The sequence below is a fragment of the Homo sapiens genome, chromosome 2 (genome assembly GCF_000001405.40).
Source record: "Homo sapiens chromosome 2, GRCh38.p14 Primary Assembly".
NCBI lineage: Eukaryota > Metazoa > Chordata > Mammalia > Primates > Hominidae > Homo > Homo sapiens.
The window spans coordinates 171,929,091-171,951,639 of record NC_000002.12 but is presented as its reverse complement, the minus strand read 5'-3'; the positions used below and the strand labels follow the sequence as shown (position 1 = coordinate 171,951,639).

General features: G+C 41.0%; 1 protein-coding gene across 3 annotated transcripts in view, besides 1 other annotated feature; it reads right to left on the bottom strand.

Annotated features, from left to right (window-relative positions):
- Positions 1-22,549, bottom strand: part of HAT1 (histone acetyltransferase 1) — a 61,226-nt gene that overhangs the window by 32,047 nt on the left and 6,630 nt on the right. For 2 of the 3 annotated variants that reach the window (XM_006712808.4, NM_003642.4), the window contains one exon: positions 4,857-4,932. The exons of the other annotated variant lie outside the window; for it this stretch is intronic. In XM_006712808.4, the coding sequence (XP_006712871.1) occupies positions 4,857-4,932 (76 nt within the window). The remainder of the gene's footprint in view (positions 1-4,856; positions 4,933-22,549) is intronic. 3 annotated transcript variants of the gene reach the window in all.
- Positions 16,588-16,825: a silencer, noted in NCBI's record as "fragment chr2:172791325-172791562 (GRCh37/hg19 assembly coordinates)". NCBI's record gives its function as "represses an EF-1alpha promoter that drives an FKBP-Casp9 reporter gene in an ReSE screen in K562 erythroleukemia cells {active_cell/tissue: K562}" and the evidence as "EXISTENCE:reporter gene assay evidence [ECO:0000049][PMID:32094911]".

The window sequence follows — 22,549 nt, the reverse complement described above, 5'->3', positions numbered from 1 at the left end:
CCAACATGGTGAAACCACGTTTCTACTAAAACTACAAAAAAAAAAAAAAAAAAATAGGCAGGTGTGGTGGTGGGTGCCTGTAATCCCAGCTACTCAAGAGGCTGAGGCAGGAGAATAGATTGAACCCAGGAGGTGGAGACTGCAGTGAGCTGAGATTGCGCCACTGCACTTCAGCCTGGGCAACAGAGCAAGACTCCGTCTCAAAAAATTAAAAAGAAGCACTATCTGTAAAACTAGATCTTATCTACTAAGATATTACACAGATTTTTTAAAGTAGTAAAAAGTAGAGAATAAAACAATGTCTCTTTAGAGATAGAACTCCAAAGAGAAAATATTCTTATTTTTATAATAAAGTAAAACCTATTTAAAATATGAAAGGCTGAAATTTTGGCATTAATCTATGTATAATAAGATACAATTATTAATATGTGAAAGCACATAAAATGCCTAATCTGATACATCAATAATGAAAAATTCACAGGAAATTCGTTGCAGGAAGAGACATTTGTTGACTTAAAAACACAATAAGGGCCTGGTGCAGTGGCTCACGCCTGTAATCCCAGCACTTCGGGAGGCCGAGGTGGGTGGATCATCTGAGGTTAGGAGTTCGACACCAGCCTGGCCAACACGGCAAAACCCCATCTCTACCAAAAATAACAAAAATTAGCTGGGCATGGTGGCAGGCGCCTGTAACCCCAGCGACTCGGGAGGCTGAGGCAGGAGCATCACTTGAACCCAGGAGGCGCAGCTTGCAGTGAGCCGAGATCGCACCATTCATTGCACTCCAGCCTGGGCAACAAGAGCGAAACTACGTCTCAAAACAAAACACACATTAAGGCTGGGCACAGTGGCTAACGCCTGTAATGCCAGCACTTTGGGAGGCTGAGGCAGGTGGATCACCTGAGGTCAGGAGTTCAAGACCAGCCTGGCCAACAGGGTGAAACCCCGTCTCTACTAAAAATACAAAAATTAGCTGGGTGGGATAGCACGTGTCTATAGTCCCACCTACTCGAGAAGCTGAGGCAGGAGAATCGCTTGAACCTGAGAGGCGGAGGTTGCAGTGAGCCAAGATTGCACCACTGCATTCCAGCCTGGGCAACAGAGTGAGACTCCATCTCAAAAAACAAGCAAACAACAAAAAAAGCCACACATTAAATATGGCTGGGTACAGTGGCTCACGCCTGTAATTCTAGGACTTTGGGAGGCTGAGGCAGGCAGACTGTCTAAGCTCCAGAGTTCGGGACCAGCCTGGCCAATATGCCAAAACCCCGCCTCTACTAAAATTACAAAAAAAAAAAATTAGCTGGGTGTGGTGGCACACACCTGTAGTCCCAGCTACTCGGGAGGCTGAGGCATGAGAATCGCTTGAACTGGGAGGCGGCAGAGGATGCAATGAGCCAAGAAGATCATGCCACTGCATTCCAGCCTGGGCAACAGAGCAAGACTCCGTCTCAAAAAACAAACAAACAAAAAAACCCAAAACCCCCACACATTAAAGAAATATGTCAATGATGTTAAAATAATGCATGGGGGGAAAAAAGACATGAAGGGAAATATTTAAATGTCCACTATGTCTAAATACCCTTTCCTACTACAACAAACCAGGGGTTCCATGGGAGACTGACTGACTCCAGAACTAACAGGGAAAGTACCAGATGAATCTGGAAACATCTTGTTGTGTGAGAAAGTAAAGTATCACCAAAATTATAAGGACATATCAGAAAGACTCAAAAGTGTCTGAAAGGGTGGCCACTTGCCAAATCTGGGATAATTTGAGCATCAAAATTAGTAGCAGTAACAGATTGTACATAGCCCACTGAATTGTAAAAGACTCCTTAGCCAGGTGCGGTGGTTCACGCCTGTAATCCCAGCACTTGGAGGATCACTTGAGCCCAGGAGTTCAAGACCAGCCTGGTCAACATAGGAAGACCCCCATCTCTTAAAAAAAAATTTTTTTTTTTTTTTTGAGACAGAGTCTCACTCTGTTGCCCAGGCTGGAGTGCAGTGGCGCAATCTCAGCTCACTGCAACCTCTGCCTCCCAGGTTCAGGCAATTCTCCTGCCTCAGCTTCCCAAGTAGCTGGGACTACAGGATACGCCAGCAAGCCTGGCTAATTTTGTATTTTAGTAGAGACGTGGTTTCACCATGTTGCCCAGGCTGGTCGCAAACTCCTGGCTCAGGCAAACCTCCCGCCTCGGCCTCCCAAAGTTTTGGGATTACAGGTCTAAACCACTGCACCCGGCCAAAAAATTTTTAAAAATTAGCTGGGTATGGTGGTACACGCCTATAGTCCCAGCTCCTCAGGAGGCTGAGGTGGGAAGATCTGCTTGAGCCTGGGAATTCAAGGCTGCAGTGAGCTGTGATCGCACCACTGCACTTCAGCCTGGGTGACAGAGCAAGACCCTGTCTCAAAAAACAAAAACAAAAAAAAGCATCCCTGAGTTTGATATAAATAAAGAAATAAATAAGAAGAAGAAGAAGAGCTCTTTCTTATAGTAGCATGCCCAACTAATAAATGAAAAAGGTACAAAAGAGTTACAAAATTACCATTTTACAATCATCATAGTAAAATACTGATTCAAGCAAGAATCATTAATGGATGCTTCTGGGTGAAAGCTTGAGGAAAACAGGATATTTTCGGTCTCACAGTATCTCCCTACAAACTACTTATAAATTACAAAGGAAAAAACACTAACTTTATAGTGGAAAAACCTAGCAGCCACCTCTAAACCAAGTGACCCAAGTTAACTTAACCAACAAGGGACAAACTGACATCACGGACTTCCTGATGTGATACACTGAGGACACAATACCATTTCTGTAATGGCACAGCAAAAATATGCATTATCTGAGTTTAATCACAAATAAACCAATCAAATTAATCCAATATAACAGTTCTACAAAATTAGCCTATACCCTACAAAAATGTCTGTTAGGAAAAAACAAATGCTGAGGATCTGTTTCAGATTAAAGAAGAATGAAGAGATATGGCAACGAAATACAATATGATTCTGTATTGGATCCAGGATTGGAGAAAATTGCTATAAAGGAATTACTAGAAATCAACTGACAAAATCTGAAACATGAGCTGTATATCAGAAGATAGTACTGTATCAGGCCGGGCATGGTAGCTCACGCCTGCAATCCCAGCACTTCAGGAGGCCAAGGTGGGTGATCACTTGAGGTCAGGAGATTGAGACCAACCTGACCAAGATGGTGAAACCCCGTCTCTACTAAAAATACAAAAATTAGCTGGGTGTGGTGGCGGGCGCCTGTAATCTCAGCTAGTTGGGAGGCTGAGGCAGAAGAATCATCTGAACCCAGGAAGTGGAGGTTGCAGTGAGTTGAGATAGCACCACTGCATTCCAGCCTGGGCAACAACGCGAGACTCTGTATCAATGTTAAATTTCCTGAATTTTTACAACTCTTCCATGGTTATTAATCTTATTTTTAGGAAATACATAGTGAAAAGAAATGAGGTGTAAAGGATCAGGATAGATCTGCAACCTACTCTCAAATGGTTCAACAACAAGGAGAGAATGATTAAAGCAAATGTAGCTAAATGGCAACTGGTGAATCCAGGTAAAAAAATATACAGAGATCACTGTACTATTCTTGCAACTTTCTGCAAATGTGCAATGTTTTCAAAATCAAAAGTTTTTTTTAAAAAAGTAACTATTTCAATGATGTAATCAAAGTATAGGAAATTAAAGAACAGTGCTAAATATACTGGGACATATCTTTATTTTGTTTTTGTTTTTTTGAGACAGTCTCGCTCTGTCGCACAGGCTGGAGTGCAGTGGCATGATCTCGGCTCACTGCAACCTCTGCCTCCCAGGTTGAAGTGATTCTCCTGCCTCAGCCTCCCGAGTAGCCAGGACTACAGGCGTGTGCCACTACACCTGGCTAATTTTAGTATTTTTAATAGAGACGGGGTTTCACCATATTAGCCAGGCCGGTCTGGAACTCCTGACCTCAGGCAATCTGCCCGCCTCAGCCTCCCAAAGTGTTGGGATTACAGGCATGAGCCACTGCGCCTGGCCTGGGACATATATTTAAAGTTCCTTCTAAAAAATAAACTTCAGGGCAGGTACAGTGGTTCATGCCTGTAGTCCCAGCTCTTTGGGAGGCGCAGGTGGGAGGATCACTTGAGGCCAGGAGTTCAAGGCCAGCCTGGGCAACATAGGGAGACCCAATCTCTACAAAAAATTTTTTAAAAAAAGCCAGGCATGATGGTGTGTGCCTGTAGTCCCAGCTACTCGGAGGCTCAGGTGGGAGGACTGCTTATGCCCAGGAGGTTCAGGCTGCAGTGAGCTTTGATCACACTACTGCACTCCAGCCTGGGTGACACAGCGAGACCCTATCTCAAAAATAAATAAATAAATAATAAATAAATAAACTTCTCTCAACTGCTTATTTGATCATAGAATAACAACTTAAGCTTTCTATTACAGCTTTAGGGGAATACATGCTACTAGAAGTAATTTAGCAAAATGGTAGCAGAAAAAAGTAGTAGTTATGATTATGGGCTCTGGAGTCAGATTGCCTAAAATCTATACTCCAGCCATTTGTATGTTCATGAACAATTATCCAATTCTATCAATGCACAAAGCAGCAAATAATAATACCATCATTAATACTGCTGTGAGAATTAAATAATGCATTTACAGCACTAAATGGTAGGTATTAAAATAACTGGTGTCTCAATGTAAAAAAACACCATTATAACATATATTTTAAGATAAACCACATTAAAAATAAGAAGAAAATAAAATTTGATTTCTAAATCTAAAAGAAAAAGAATGAAAATTTTTTTTTCCATACTAATTTGACAAATATTTTACTAAGTTACTTACTCATCCCCAAAGAGTTGATGGGTATACTCAGGAAAGAAAGTTCTAATGTCATTTTCAAGATCTTCAGGAAAACGAACTGTTTCAAGGGACAAAAAAATAGAGATATTAAAGATAACTAAAGATATTGAAGGTGACAGGTATTCCTATTTCATGAGTTTCAGTATAACTAGGATACAGCCAACATTTTTCTTACTAAAAGTGTCATTTCACCATTATATGATTTATTTACACTGTATTCTCAAGAGACTAGTGAACAAAGAAAATTAAAATATTACTTTGAGTGCTTCAGCGTCAAAACCCTACTTATTCTAAGAATCAGAAGGCTAAGTATGACAGAGGCACCTCATTTAGTTTTTATTTTTCCATGTTTATGCACAATGCAATGAGTAAAGGAAAAACAAAAAGACACTTTGAGGTAAGAAGTTACAGCAAATGAAAACAGAATGCTGTAAGAAACATTCTGATAATAACAATAACCTGAGTTTGATGAAGTCATTCTTTTTGACTGCTAGATGACATTTATGTTGTTCTCATGTTTGTTTTTTGCTATTAAAAATAACACTGCAATGACATCCTTATATACATCCTGCTGTACTTTTATAAGTATACACAGGGGAAATTCCTGGCAGCAGAAAACTAGGGGGAGAGTACTGAAATATTTGTATAAATATTGCTAAAGTGGCCAGGTGCAGTGGCTCATGCCTGTAATCCCAGCACTTTGGGAGGCCAAGGCAGGTGGATCATCTGAGGTCAGGAGTTCACGCCCAGCCTGGCTGACATGGTGAAACCATCTCTACTAAAAATTCAAAAATTAGGCTGGGCACAGTGGCTCATGCCTGTAATCCCAACACTCTGGGAGGCTGAGGTGGGCAGATTACCTGAGGTCAGGAGTTCAAGACCAGCCTGGCCAACATGGTGAAACCCCATCTCTACTAAAAATACAAAAATTAGCCGGGCATGGTGGCACACAACCTGTAATCCCAGCTACTTGGGAGGCTGAGGCAGGAGAACTACTTGAGCCCAGGAGGCGGAGGTTGCAGTGAGCCGAGATCGTGCCACTGCACTGCAGCCTGGCCAAGAGAGCGAGACTCTCTCTCAAAAAAATAAATAAATAAATAAATAATTGGCTAGCCATGGTGGCGCATGCCTGTAGTCCCAGCTACTTAGAGGGCTGAGGCAGGAGAATCGCTTAAATCCAGGAGGTAGAGGTTGCAGTGAGCCAAGATCATGCCACTGCACTCCAGCCTGGGCGACAAAGACTGTCTCAAAAAAAAAAAAAAAAAAATTATAGATAGCTAGCTAGCTAGCTAAAGTGCCCTATAAAAATATTGTAACAGTTTATACACCCACAAGCAGTTTATATACCCATAGCTTGTAGACTCCTTTGCTCCCTACATCCTTGAGAACACTCTGCTGTACTCAAGGATACTCTGTACCCTCGACTTCAATTTCTATCAATCTAAGATGGAATGGGTATCCTTTTATTATTTTTATTTGTATTTGTTGTGAGTACTGAAATACTAGATAGTTCCCTGATAAAATTTATCTTAGGAAGAAAATTTTATTCATTAAAAAATTCTTAAGCAATTGAAGAATGTAAAGAAAAATTGGAGGGCTGGGCGCGGTGGCTCACACCTGTAATCCCAGCACTTTGGGAGGCTGAGGCAGGCAGATCACTTGAAGTCAGGAGTTCAAGACCAGCCTAACCAATATGGTGAAATGCCATCTCTACTAAAATACAAAAATTAGCCAGGCATGGTGGTAGGTCCCTATAATCCCAACTACTCTGGAGGCTGAGGCATGAGAATCGCTTGAACCTGGGAGGAGGAGGTTGCATTGAGCTGAGATTGTGCCACTGCGCTCCAGCCTGGGTGATCGAGCGAGACTCCGTCTCAGGGGGAAAAAAGAAGATAAACTGTAGATGAAAAATTTCTAACACTGTCCTCACAGACCAGGTCACTCCCTGCATGCCAAAGTATCACCAGCATATTACTAATTTACAGAAGAAAAGGTATATTTTCACTGTAGAGATCTGGTAGTCACCTCCTTTCCAAATGATCTAACTTAGCATCATTCATTGTGGGACAGAACAACATTATGTGCCTCCTGATTCAATGCAATATGAAGTACAGTCATCCCTCAGTATACTCAAGAGACTGGCTCTAGGACCCCTGACTGTACCAAAATCCATCATACTCAAGTCCTGTAGTTCTGTCTGGTGTCCCACTGTACTTTCTATCTGCATTTGGTAGGAAAAAAAGTCCATGTGTAAGTGGACCCACACAGTTCAAGTCGTGTTGTTCAAGGACCAACTGTATGCTGCATCACCCATGAAGTTTTCTCACCAAAAATTTTTATCTTAAATCTAATCAAGCTTTTTACCTTCCAATTCACAGGAAATACAGAGGATAGAGGAGGAAGTTAAACTAATATCAAAAGGAAATACACAAATCCAGAATGTACATTTATCTGTGCAATGACTTTACTCTCCCAAATAAATCAATGTCATGTAGGGGAAAAGTTGCATGTGGACGGAAAGGGACTGCTCTGTATTAAAAGAGATTATTTAAGAAACATTACAACTAAATGCAGTGCACAATCCCTTACTGGATCCTTGTTTAAGTATTTTTTTTTTTTTTTGAGACAGGGTTTCATTGTCACCCAGGCTGGAATACAGTGGCACAATCACAGCTCACAGCAACCTTGAAATCCTGGGCTCAAAAGATCTTCCCGCCTCAGCCTTTAAAGTAGCTGAGACTACAAGCGCAAATCACCATGAACAACTAATTTTTTAAATTTTTTGTACAGATGGGGGTCTTTGTTGCCCAGGCTCGTATCCAATTTCTGGGCTCAAGCCATCCTCCACTTCAGCCTCCCAAAGTGCTGGAATTACAGGCATGAGCCACCATGCCTGGACTAATTTTTTTTAAAGCTATTAAAGTGTTTTGATGGCAACTAGGGAAACCAGAAATTACGCAGTATTGAAAAAATTACCATTAATTTTCTTAAGTGTGATAACACTATTATGGATACATATATATATATATATATATATATGAATGTCCATATATTAGGAGATATACTATAGGGAAGTGTCATGATGTTTAGATACCTACTGTCAAATAATTCAGCAAAAATACACACATACTAAAGCAAATATGGCAAAATGTTAACTGTTGAATCTAGGTGTTAAATATACATGAGTATTGTTTTATTCTCTCAATTGTTCTGTGTTTAAAATGTTTCATAACAAAAATTTAAAGAAAAAAAAGAGGCTTAGGCAAATGCAGCCAAATGTTAAGACTTGAAAAAGCAGAGTGATGGGATCAGAGATATTGCTTAGTTTCCTTTTTTTTTTTTTTTTTTTTTTTTTGAGACAGAGTCTCTCTCTGTCGCCCAGGCTGGAGTGCAATTGCATGATCTCGGCTCACTGCAACCTCTGCCTCCCGGGTTCAAGTGATTCTCCTGCCTCAGCCTCCCAAGTAGCTGGGATTACAGGCACCCGCCACCCAAAAATTAGCGCCCAGCTAATTTTTGTATTTTTAGTAGAGACGGGGTTTCACCATGTTGGCCAGGCTGGTTTCAAACTCCTGACCTCAGGTGATCTGCCCGCCTCAGCCTCCCAAAGTGTTGGGATTACAGGCAAAGCCACCGTGCCCAGCCAGCACTGTATTTTTTGTATGCCTGTAATAGTTAAAAAAAAAAAAAAACTCAAATATGTCCAGACTCACTAACCTAAAAATTCACAACTACTACATCTCTAATGTTTGAAAATGTTTGGAAAATCTAGAAATTGTGAAAAATTAATTTTCAAACTAATATGTATATTATATGACATTTTGGTAGTGATGGGTAAAAAGACATAGAGAAAAGAACAAGTAATGAGTAAGAAAAGTTGTCTTAAGCCTAGTTATGATAATAATTTCTAAAATTCAGATTGGCCTTCTTCTGATGCCCCTGTCATCCAAATTAGTGAGGTTTTAATATTTTCCCATAAAATTTGGTCCACAGAAAATAGGAACTAAAAGTTGGTATTTGGCGGATCTAAGGTTCAACCAGTGTGACATATATATGTCACATATATATATGTTACTTGAGAACATGTACAAAATGTGAACTTTCTCCAGGATATCAGAAACATTAAATATTTTCAAGTCTTTATAAGGCAGGTATGGCAGTACAGCAAACAAGCAACCCAAATGTCACAGGTGAATGATTAAATAAATTACAGTAAATACATGAAATGGCTTACATAATTATTAAACATGTTATCATGACAAACATAGGAAAATGTTCACAATGCAGAGTTAAGTGAACAGAACATGATACGGTAACCTCGATTTTATAAAAGGGAAACAATAGAAATGAATACATAATAAAAAAATACTAGAAGAAAACACTCCAAATTATAATACAGAGGTAGGTATTTTGAGTGATGAATTATGGATAATTTTTATTTCATATACTTTTATCTACTTTCCAAATTTTCTGCAAAATATGTATTACCACAATACTCAGAAAAAATATACAGTATAAAAAACTGAAACAATTCAAAATAAGCACTAAAAACCTATGTTGCAGCTGGGCACAGTGGCTCATGCCTGTAATCCCAGCACTTTGGGAGGCCAAGGCAGGTGGATCACCTGAGGTCAGGAGTTCAAGACCAGCCTGGCCAACATGGTGAAGCCCCGTCTCTATTAAAATTACAAAACTTAGCTGGGTGTGGTGGTGTGCACCTGTAATCCCAGCTACTCAGAAGGCTGAACTAGGAGAATTGCTTGAACCCAGGAGGCAGAGGTTGCAGTAAGCCGAGATCGAGCCACTGCACTCCAGCCTGGGTGACAGAACAAGACTCCATCTCAAAAAACAAAAACAAAAAAAATCTATGTCACTCACACTTTTGTAGAAAAATGGAAGCTCAGGGCCTGGAATACTAAATGGCACCTTATTGCTCTATAGGAGGGGCCCCCAAACACCATGTATCGGTTTGTGGCCTGTTAGGAACCAGGCTGCACAGCAGGAGATGAGTAATGGGTAAGCTGGAAAAGCTTCATCTGTATTTACAGTTGTCCCCCACTGCTTGCACTACTGCCTGAGCGCCGCCTTCTGTCAGATCAGTGGTGGCATTAGACTCTCATAGGAGCAAAAACCCTACTGAGAACTGCTCATGCAAGGGATCTAGGTTGACGGCTCCTTATGAGAATCTAATGCCTGATGATCTGAGGTGGAGCTGAGGCAGTGATACTAGCACTGGGGAGCGGATGCAAATACAGATTAACGTTAGCAGAGAGGTTTGACTGCAAAGAGACCATAATAAATCAATTGCTTGCAGACTCATATCAAAACCCTATCAGCCCAGCCTGGCCAACAAGGAGAAACCCCGTCACTACTAAAAATACAAAACTTAGCCAGCTGTGGTGGCACACACCTAAAATCACAGCTACTCCAGAGGCTGAGGCAGGAGAATCACTTGAACCCAGGAGGTGGAGGTTGCAGTGAGCCGAGATCCCGCCACTGCACTCCAGCCTGGACAACAGAGCGAGACTCTGTCTCAAAAAAAACAAAACAACAACAAAAAAAACACCAACCCTATCAGTGAGTAGTGAGTGGCAAGTGACAACTAAGCTGCATCTGGTGGCAGGCTTTATAATGGCAAGTGAGTTCATGTAGTTCCATTGTACAGCTACATCTAGTGGCAGGCTTTAAGTCAGAATCCAACATTTATTTTAGTCCCCATGTTGCCAACCCATTATTTTATTTGCGACTTCCATCTGTGCCTCTTTCTCACACTGTACACTTGTCTCAGTCACAGTTTTGGTAAGTCTTTTTGCTAACCCTAGTCAAAATGAGTGAAAAACAAATATCACTGAAGAGCTTCTTTGAAAAAGGGGAAAGACCCAATGATGAGACAGCAGAAGACTCTAAGACTGCCAACAAAAAGAAAGCTGCATTTAAAATACCAAGAGTCCTACTTAAATTATGGGTTCACTGCAACAGGTGATTCACATTCTCCAAGCCCTCTGTGTATAGTACATGGTGACCAGCTATCCAACAAAGCCACAAAACCTTCAAAACTGCTTAGTTACATCGAGACCAAGCACCCTGCATTAAAAGACAAGCCTTTGGAGTTTTCAAAAGAAAAAAACATGAACATGAAGAACAGAAGCAATTTATTGAAGGCCACCACTTCATCAAATGCGTCTGCACTGAGAGCTCCATTCTTAATGGCTAACCAAATTGCTAAAACTAAGAAGCCCTTTACTACTGGTGAAGAGTTAATCCTGCCTGCTGCTAAGGACATTTGTCGTGAACTTTTAGGAGAGGCTCGAATTCAAAAGGTGGCGCGTGTTCCTCCTTAGGCTCATACCATAACTAGAAGAACTAATGAAATAGCAGGGGATATTGAGGCACAATTGTTAGAGAGGGTTGAGTCACCATGGTGCACAATCCAGGTTGACGAGTCTACCAATGTTGACAACAAGGCAACAACGCTTGTTTTTGTGCAATATATTTTTCAGGAGGATGTGCATGAGAATACGTTATGTGTACTTTTCTTGCCAACCAATACCACACTGCAGAACTATTCAAGTCTTTGAATGATTACATATCAGGGAAACTGAATTGGTCATTTTGTGTTGGTATATGCATGGACGAAGTGGCTGCCATGACTGGACAGCTTTCTGGTTTCATTATTCAGGTCAAAGAGGTCACCTTGGCCAGACGCAGTGGTTCATGCCTGTGATCCCAGCACTTTTGGAGGCTGAGGTGGGAGGATCGCTGAGTCCAGGAGTTTGAGACTAGCCTGAGCAATACAGTGATACCCTTTCTCTACACATAATAAAAAATTAGCTGGGTGTGGTGGCATGTGCCTGTAGTCCCAGGCAGAACTGCTTGAGCTCAGGAAGTTGAGGCTACAATGAGCCATGACTGCGCCACAGCAGTCAGCTTGTGCAATAAAGTGAGACCCTGTCTTAAAAAAAAAAAAAAGAAAAAAAGGAGTTGTTTCCAAATGTGAGTCTACGCACTATTTCATCCATTGAGTAATGCTGGCTAGCTAAAAAATGTCACCTGAACTTGACATTTTGCAGGACGTAATTAAAATTATCAACCACATTAAAGTATATGCCCTTACCTCACACCTGTTCACATTGCTCTGTGAGGAAATGGACACAGATCACACATATCTTCTCTTATACACAGAAGTGAGATAGCTTTCTAAAAGTAGATCACTGGCTAAAGTTTTTGAGTTACAACAGCCGCTCCAGAGATTTCTTTTAGAAAAACAGTCACCACGGGCAGCACATTTCAGTGACACAGAATGGGTCACAAAACTTGCTTATTTTTGTGACATATTCAACCTGTTTAACAAACTTGATCTATCACTTCAAGGGAGAACAACAATTGTGTTCAAGTTGGCAGATAAAGTGGCTGCATTCAAAGCCAAAGCAGAAGTATTAGGGTGACGAGCGAACACTGGGTTTGTTGACATGTTTCAAACATTAGCAGAGATTTTGAAAGGCCCTGGCTCACAGGGTCCTCTTACTTCCAGCTGGTGCACGATCACCTATCTCAGCTTTCAAAAGAGTTTGAGCATTAATTCCCAACCACAAAAGAACCCTGAACTGGGAAGGAATGGATCCGTGACCCATTTTTGAATAAGTCAGGTGAATCGACTTTATCCGTGCTGGAATAGGGTCAACTGCTTAAGACAGCAAATGAAGGTGGCCTTAAAAGTGTGTTTGAAGCCGGGCCTGGTGGCTCACATCTATAATCCCAGCACTTTGGGAGGCCAAGGCAGGCGAATTGCTTGAGTCCAGGGGTTCAAGACCAGCCTGAGCAACATGGCGAAACCCCGTCTCTACTAAAATTACAAAAATTAGTGGGGTTTGGTGGTATACACCCATAGTCCCAGCTACTTGGGAGGCTGAGGCACGAGAATCACTTGAATCCAGGAAGTGGAGGTTGCAGTGAGCTGAGACTGCACCACTGCACTGTAGTGTGGACAATAGAGCAAGACCCTGTCTCAAAAAAAAAAAATATGTTTCAGACAACTTCAAATCTCCTTATGTTCTGGATTAAAATCAAGGCAGAACATCCTGAGATTGCCAGAAAAGTACTGAAAAGCCTGCTTCCATTCTCAACATCTTATCCTTGTGAGGCAGGGTTTTCTGCAATGACAGCAACCAAAACGAGATTACAGAGTAGACTGGACATAAGCAATACACTTCAGGTGTCACTGTATCCATCACCCCCAGATGGAACTGTCTAGTTGCAGGAAAACAAGCTCAGGGTTTCCACTGATTCCACAGTGAGGTGTATAATAATTTCATTATAATTACAATGTAAATAGAAAAAGTGTACAATGAATGTAATGCGCTTGAATCATCCCAAAACCATTCCCCGCAAACCTCCCTCCCTGGTCTGAAGAAAAATTGTCTTCCACTAAACTGGTCCCTGGTGCCAAAAAAGTTGGGGACTGCTGCTATATAGAACATAGGGCCTGCAATGATTCTTCCTTTTGAATATATTTACTGTTGCTTCTTTCTTTCTTTTGTAGAGACAGAGTCTTGCTATGTTGCCCAGACTGGTTTTGAACTCCTCTAGCCTTAAGCAATCCTCCTACCTTGGCCTCCCAAAGTGCTGGGATTATAAGTGTGAGCCACCATGCCTGCCCTGCCCTATTGTTTCTACTCTTACAGTTCATTTAAAGAGAGAGAGAGAGAGAGAGAGAGAGAGAGAGAGAGAGAGAGAGAGAGAGAATCAGTAGACAGACAGATAGATAGATGGGGTCTTGCTCTGTTGCCCAGGCTGCAGTGCAGTGTACAATCCCAGCTAACTGCAGCCTTGATCTCCTGTGCTCAAGCCTCCCAAGTAGCTGAGACTATAAGTGTGTACCACACACTTGGCTAATTGTTTGATTTTTTTTAAGAGACAAGGTCTCGCTATGTTGCTTAGGCTGGCCTCAAACTCCTGGCTTCAAGTGATCCTCCTCCCTCAGCCACCCTTTTTCCTACAGCTCCATTACTATAATTAACCATCATGCTACTTCTATTTCAGAGTTACTGATGACTTTATTGTACAATTAGTGCTGTTCTGCTTTTCTTCACTCTCCTTGAACTCCATAACAGTAGATGTTATTAAACTCTTTTTCTACCCGAAATATTATTCTTCCTTTCTCACTTATATACTATACCTCCTTGTTTTTCTGACTTAACCTGGTTTCTTTTGCTGCCACTCCCTTAGATATAGGCATTTTCCAAGACTTGGTCCTTGGTCTGCCCTTCTTTCACAGTGTGTTCCTTTCAGAGCTCATCTTTTTTCCTGGCTTCAACTATCACCAGCAACAGTACCACCAGAGCCAGCTCTCCCCTCCAATCTTTGTGTCCCTGTCAGTGGCACCACCTTTTTATAGGCACAAACCACCATGTATGGCAATAAGTTCATATACTTCCTAGTTCTTAGAATCACTTCAGTAGTTTTGGAGAGGCAAGATGCATGAAAGAAGATATAGTCTACATGTCTTATTAACCAAAAGTAAAATTAAGAAATCACCAAGGCACATTATTTTAATCAATTTTTAAAGCTTGTTTAATAAATACATAAGAGTTCAAGACCAGCTTGGGCAACACGGCAAAACCCCATCTCTACAAAAAATACAAAAATTCACTGGGCGTGGTGGCACACATCTGTAGTCCCAGCTACTCAGGAGGCTGAGGTGGAAGGATCACTTGAGCCTGGGAGGCAGAGGTTGCAATGAGCCGAGATCACACCACTGCACTCCAGCCTGGGCAACAGAGCCAGACCCTATCTCAAATAAATAAATAAATACTTAAGTATTTAACACATTTAATATATATGATCTATCAACAGGTGCTCATAATGCAGACATAAATGGATTCTGGCCCCCACGGGGTATAGTATCTAATTGTATTCTGGACTACATCTAAGTTTATTCATAATCCTGTGTTCTTTAAATAACTGAAATCTTAGCATATTGCCCGATACATCTTTTCCTACCCATGCTAAATTGAAAAACAAGCTTAATTATATAATTTTAAAACACAAGAGTGGCCCCAGTGTGCTGGCAACATTCCCATCAGCACAAACAATCTGCAAAATGAGGTATCTCAACATTAAATATTCCCTAGAGATGCCATAATTAATCCCATCACACTCTTTATTCCCATTAACAGCAGTCCAATTCTTAAAAATTCCCTTATCACTGGGATTCTCATCCCTGTATTATACAGTAGTATAAAAATACTCATCTAATTTCCCACCCCTTCCCAACTCATTGTGACCACTGTGAAACTTAGAGGTCAGTTACCACCAAAATTCTCCATATCCCCAACCTCTTTATCAAATGCTCTCCTATCTTGCGCTAACAGTTCTTTGGCACACATGGCTCTCCCCTAAGGATGCTCCTGTCTTACAGACCTCTCAGGTAGTGGTTGTTTTCTCTGTCTTCATACTGCTAGAACAAGGTATCCTCCTTGCTCCTCATTGCTGGTTTCAGACTAATGTCTCTCTCCCCACACACTAAGAATAAACCACTTTAAAGTTCATGCTCCACCTCTCTCCCTCATTCTTTGAATAATTTAGCTCCAGGCTCACTGTTGCACTTTCCAACACTACATCTGACTTAAATCTTGGTAACTTCAAAATTAATGAAAATGAATCTTCCAATCCAGCCTTGCAGTTCCTTGATTCCTCCCCAAGAATTTTGTCTTTACTGTACCTTAGCCACTTATTCCCATGATGTGCCCTAGCCTTTATTTATCATTATTGACAATTATACCTCCTTAATCTCTATTTCAAACATTGTACCATCTTACCATCACCACTTATCTTCCTACCTCACTCCCTATACCCCCAATTCTTTTTTGTTTTGTTTTTTGTTTTTTGAGACAGGGTCTGGCTCTGTCACCCAGGCTGGAGTGTTGTGGCACAACCAATCACAGCTCACTGCAACCTCAACCTCCCAGGCTCAGGTGATCCTCCTGCCTCAGCCTCCTGAGTAGCTGGGACCACAAGCACGCACCTCCACACCCAGCTAATATTTTATTTTTTGTAGAAATGGGGTCTCCCTATGTTGCCCAAGCTGGTCTCAAACTCCTGGGCTAAAGTGATCATCCTGCCTGGGCCTCCCAAAGTGCTGGGATTACAAGCATGAACCACCACACCCAACCATACCCCAATTCTAACAATTCTTCAGCCCCCACCAAGACTTAAAATGAATTTTGTCTTTTTTTTTTTTTTTTTTTTTTTGAGATGGAGTTTTGCTCTTGTTGCCCAGGCTGGAGTGCAATGGCACAATCTCAGCTCACAGCAACCTTGGCCTCCAAGGTTCAAACGATTCTCTTGCCTCAGTCTCCCAAGTAGCTGAGATTATAGGCATGTGCCACCATGCCCAGCTAATTTTTGTATTTTTAGTAGAGACGGGGTTTCACCATGTTGGCCAGGCTGGTCTCGAACTCCTGACCTCGGGTGATCCACCCGCCTCTGCCTCCCAAAGTGCTGGGATTACAGGCATGAGCCACCGTGCTTGGCCACAATGAATTGATTTGAACATAATTTCACTGTCCCTCTTCTACTTCATATCCTCGTTTTCCTCCCTTTCCAGTGCAGAATTCCATGGTCCATCAATGTTATTACTCCATCCTAAACATCCTCAACCCCTTGGCCTTAATTTTTTTCATAGCAGCCTCGTAAAAAGAAAACCACTCTAGGCCAGGCGCGGTGGCTCACGCCTGTAATCCCAGCACTTTGGGAGGCCGAGGCAGATGGATCACTTGAGGTCAGGAGTTTGAGACCAGCCTGGCCAACATGGCGAAACCCCGCCTCTACTAAAAATACAAAAATTAACTGGGCGTGGTGGTGGGCGCCTGTAATCCCAACTACTTGGGAGGCTGAGGCAGGAGAAGCACTTGAACTCCAGAGGCGGAGGTTGCAGTGAGCTGAGATCGCGCCATTGCACTCCAGCCCGGATGACAAGACCAAAATTCTGTCTCAAAAAAAAAAAAAAAAAACCCACTCTAGTTAAATTTAACTATATGTCTATTCTTTGTGGCACACTTTCATCTGGACGTGGCTGACCTCACTTTACATTCATGAGAACTAACTTGAAGTGGGCCCTTAGTGCTACCTGACAATGGTAACAGTTCTCAAGTCTACTCACTCCTCCCACTCACCTAGATGACTATTTCCTCAAATCTCCAACGCCTTCTTCTATAAGCACGTTCTCCACAGATGACCTTGCTTACTATCTCACTTAGGAAACAGAAGCATTCAGAAAAGAAACTGCACAAAATGCTTCCTCTACACCTTCTAACTTACTGCAGCAATTCCTGTATACCCTCCTTCATCTTGTTATGGTAGAAATTCTCCATGCTCCTATCTAAGGCTAATCCTTCCACTGATTAATAAAATACTTACCCCTCTTACATTGTCAAGGATATTACTCAACAAATACTCCCCTTCTCTGATACTTCCAGAAATACTCCTGTATTATTTCCCCCTTCTCTGATAGATCATTGGCATCAGCATATAAACATGCTGTTATTTCTTACAGGTTTAAAACATTCTCATTTCTATATTAATAGCTAACAAAGTAGACTTAAATATGAGGCAAGATGGGTTAAAGAGGGGACAGAGATAAAGATGGAACATTTTATAATGAGTAAGGTCAATTCACCAAGAAGACATAGGAAGTCTAAATCTGTATGTACCTAATATCAGAGCTGCAAATACATCAAGCAAAAATTAATGACTGAAGACATAGACAATCCACAATTCCAGCTGGAGATTTTGACAGTTCTCTCAATTGTCCTAATCGCTAGAAAGTCAGTAAAAATATAAAAGACTTTAATACTATTAAGTCAATTTACACTTATAGAACACTACATAAAACTGCAGACTATAAATTATTTTTCAGTGCACCTAGGACACTGACCAAACAGATCCTACATGATAAGCTATAAAACAAGGCTCAATGAATTTAAAAGGACTGAAATAAGACTATATTGTCTGACCTTGACAGAACTAATTCAGAAATCAGTGACAATAAGACAGCTAGAAAAGTCCCAAATATTTGGAAATTAAGTAACCCTCTTCTATATAACTCATGGGTCAAAAAAGAAGTCGCAAGGGAAATTTAAAAATATTTTGAATTGAGCAATAAAAATAGAACATAACAGAATTGGTAGGATGCAACTATATCAATATTTAGAGGTAAATTTTTTTTTCTTTTTTTTTTTGAGACAGAGTCTTGCTCCGTCACCCAGGCTGGAGTGCAGTGATGCGATCTTGGCTCACTGCAACTAGAGGTAAATTTATAACATTAATGCTAGTATTAGAAAAGGAAAGTTTAAAGTTAATTATATACACATCTACTTTAAAAAGAAAGATCTTAAAAAAAGCAAATTAGACCAGGTAAGGTGGCTCATGCCTGCAATCCTAACACTTTGGGAGGCCAAGGCAGGAGGATCACTTGAGCCCAGGAGTTCGAGACCACCCTGAGCAACACAGTGAGACTCCATCTCTACAAAAAAAATACAAAAGTTAGCTAAGTGTGGTGGTGTACACCTGTAGTCCCAGCTACTCAGGAGGCTGAGGTGAGAGGGTCACTTGAGCCAAGAGGTTGAGGCTACAGTGAGCCATGATCACACCACTGCACTCCAGCCTCGGCAACAGAGCAAGACCTTGTCTCAAAAGAAGGAATAAAAAAATTAACCCAAAGTAAGATGAAAGAATTTATAAAGATTAAGAAAACAGATAAATAACAGACAAAGGCAATGCTGAAAAGATCAGTAAGATTGGTAAACTTGTAAGGAGACATTAAAAGACAAAGAGAAAAAGAATTACCAATACCCCCAAGAAGGGATTATAGATTCTAGAGTCACTTATTTTATTTTTTGAGACAGCGTCTGGCTCTGTCACCCAGACTGGAGTGCAGTGAGATGATCGCAGCTCACTGTAACCTCCACCTCTCCGGCTCAAGTGATCCTCCCACCTCAGCCTCCCAAGTAGCTAGGACTATGGGTGCATGCCACCATGCTTGGCTAATTTTTAAATTTTATTTTATTGTTGAGATCTCATTATATTGCCCAGGCTGGCCTTGAACTCTTGGGCTCAAGCGATCCTTCTGCCTTGGCCTCCCAAAGATCTGGGATTACATGTCTGAGCCACTGCACCTCGCTCTACAGTCATTTAAATGGTAACAGGGGAATACTGTAAGCAACTTTCTGCCAAGAAAGTTAGATAAAATAGAGAAATACTTTAAAAGACAAAAATCACCAAAACTGACACAAGAAGAAACAGAAGATCAGAACAGTATTAAATCTATTTATTAGATGTATAGTTAAAAACCTTCCAACAAAGAAAACTCAAGGCACATAAAACTTCACTGGTGAATGCTACTGAACATTTAAAGGAATAATGCAGTCTTATACAAATTCTTCCAGAAGATAGAGAAGAAACAGTTCCCAACTCATTTTATGAGGCCAGGAAACCTTGATACCAAAATCAAGCAAAGACGTATGAAAAAAGAAACCATTACCTGTCATGAACAAAGAGTCTTAACAAAACATTGCCAAGTCAAATCTAGCAAAGCAGAAAAAGGATAATATACTGGCATGCAAGGCTAATTTAACACTTAAAACCTCATCAATGTAATTCACCACATTATCAGAATTAAAGGAGAAAAATCTTATGATTATCTTGATAAAGAAAAAGCATTAGAAGGTAACACTTTCATAATAAAAACTCTCACCAAACTAGGAATAGAAGGAAACTTCCTCAACCTGATAAAGGGCACATATGAAAAACCTACAGCTAACATCATAGTGAATGGTGAAAGGCTCAAAATTTTCCTTCTTCAATTGGGAATAAGGCAAGGATGTCTACTCTATCACTTCCATTTGACATTGTAATAGAGGTTCTGGCCAGTGCAGTAAGGCAAGAAAATGAAACACAAGTGGCTCTCCACATATGCAGGTTCCACATCCACTGATTCAACCAATTACGGATCAACATGAGATTGGCTGAATCCTCAAACACAGAATCTGCAGATACAAAGAGCTGACTGTACTATATGGCTGTTTTTCCCCCCCGAGACACAGTCTTGCTTTGTCGCCCAGGCTGGAGTGCAGTGGCACAATCTCGGCTCACTGCAACCTCCACCTCCTGGGCTCAAGCAATTCTCCTGCCTCAGCCTCCCAAGTAGCTGGGATTACAGGTGTGTGCCATCACGCCCAGCTAATTTTTGTATTTTTAGTAGAGACGGAATTTCACCATGTTGACCAGGCTTGTCTTCTCGAACTCTTGCCTCAGCCTCCCAAAGTGCTGGTATTACAGGCGTGAGCCACCATGCCCGGCTATATGGCTATCTATCTATCAAGACAGGGTCTCACTCTGTCACTCACACTGGAGTGCAGTGGCACAATCACAGCTCACTGCAGCCTAGAACTCTTGGGCTCAGGCAGATCCTCCCACCTCAGCCTCCTGAGTAGCAACTACAGATGCACACCATCATGCCTGGCTAATTCTTGTATTTTTTGTAGAGATGGGGTTCTGCCATGTTGCTCAGGCTGGTCTCAAACTCCTGGGCTCAAGCAATCTGCCTGCCTCAACCTCCCAAAGTGCTAGATTACAGATGTGAGCCACCATGCCCAGCCACACTATGGCATTTTGTATAATGGACCGGATCATCGGCAGATTTTGGTATTCACGGGGGATCGTGGAACCAAATCCCTGAAGATACCAATGGACAACTGTATAAGGCAAAGAAAAACTGTGACTTTCTTCATTAACAGGTAATGTTTGTGTGCAGGAAATCTGAAATAATCTACATCTAAAAAAAAAAATCCTATAGCTGGGTGTGGTGGCTTATGTCTGCAACCCTAGCACTTTGGGAAGCTGAGGCAAGAGGATTGCTTGAGCCCAGGAGTTCAAGACCAGCATGGGCAATATAGTGAGGCCCTGTCCCTAGAAAAAAAAAAAAATTTTGCCAAGCATGGTGGCACGCACCTATAGTCCCAGCTATTCAGGAGGCTGAGGTGGGAGGTTCGCTTGAGCCTGGGAAGTCAAGGCTATAGTGAGCCACAATCACGCCACTCTACTCCAGCCTTGGCAATGGAGTGAGCCACTCTCTCAGAAAAAGCCCAGAATACAAAAAACTACAATAATAAGTGAATTTAGCAAGGTTGCAGAATACAAAACAATTACACAAACTGTGCCATTGTGTGTCCATGCATATGCACATGCACACACATAAAACAAGCAATTGGAAGAGAAAATGTTTAAAGTATATCATTTTTAGGTCAGGCACAGTGGCTCACATCTGTAATAGCACTTTGGGAGGCCTAGGTGGGCAGATCACTCGAACCCAGAAGTTCAAGACCAGTCTGGGTAACAAGGCGAAACCCTGTCTCTACAAAAAATACAAAAATTAGCCAGGCATGGTGGTGTATGCGGAGTCCCAGCTACTCGGGAAGCTGTGGTAAGAGGATCACTTGAGCTCGGAGGCAGAGGTTGCAGTGAGTGGAGATCACGCTACTGCACTCCATCCTCGGTGACAAAGTGAGAACATGTCACACATACAAAAATAAATAAATAAAAAAGTATACCATTTTTAAGAGCATCAAAAATCAAAAGATGTAGATTTACTCAGATAAATTTAACAAAATACATGCAAGACTGAAAACCTGAAACATTTCTAGAATACAGAAATACATCATGTTCATATACTGGAAGGCTCAATGTTATTAAGATAGCAATTCTCCCCACATTCAATTTTAGATTCAATGTAATCTTAAGATTAGTCAGAACTTTTTAAATAGAAATTAACCACCTGATTCCAAAATGTATACAGAAATAAGGTCAAGAATAATCGAAACAATCTTTAAAAAATAAAGATGTGGGACTCACACTACCAGGAATCAATAGAAAGTTACACTAATCCAGACAGTACGATATTGACAGAAAAACAGACAATGAATGAGAAAAGTCCAGATGTAGATCCACACGTGTAAGTTCAATATTTTTTTGTTAAAAACGCACCAAGGCATTCACACAAATTATACTGAAACAAGTGGATATCCACATGGAACAACAAACCTTAATCCCTTTCCTCATATTGGACATGAAAAATAACATGAGATGGATCATGGACATAATTTTAATAAGCTAAAACTAAAAACCTTCCAGAAGAAAACATTAGGAGAGCTTCATGATCTCCTTGGGGTAGACAAAGATATTAGGCATGAACCAGAAAACACTAATAGAAATTTTTAAAATTAATAAACTGGACATGATTAAAACTAAAAACTTCCAGTTATACAAAAAAAGTTGAGAATATGAACAGGCAAACCACAAACTGAGAGAAAAATGTGCACAAAACATGTAATCTGCATAAAGGACTCATCCAGAATATGTAGGTAAATAACACCTACAACTAATAACAAAAAGACAAATAACCTAATTTTAAAATGGGCAAAAGATGTGAATACATGAGTCCAAAAGGAGATAGTCGATAACCACATTAAAAAAACAATCCTTAATAGCATTAGTTATGAGGGAAAAGACAATTAAAACCTATTTAATCTTTACAACCACTATGAAGTACTATTAACAAAGAAATACTACTATAAACCCAGTAGAATGCCTAAAACTTTAAAAACTGACAACATAAAATG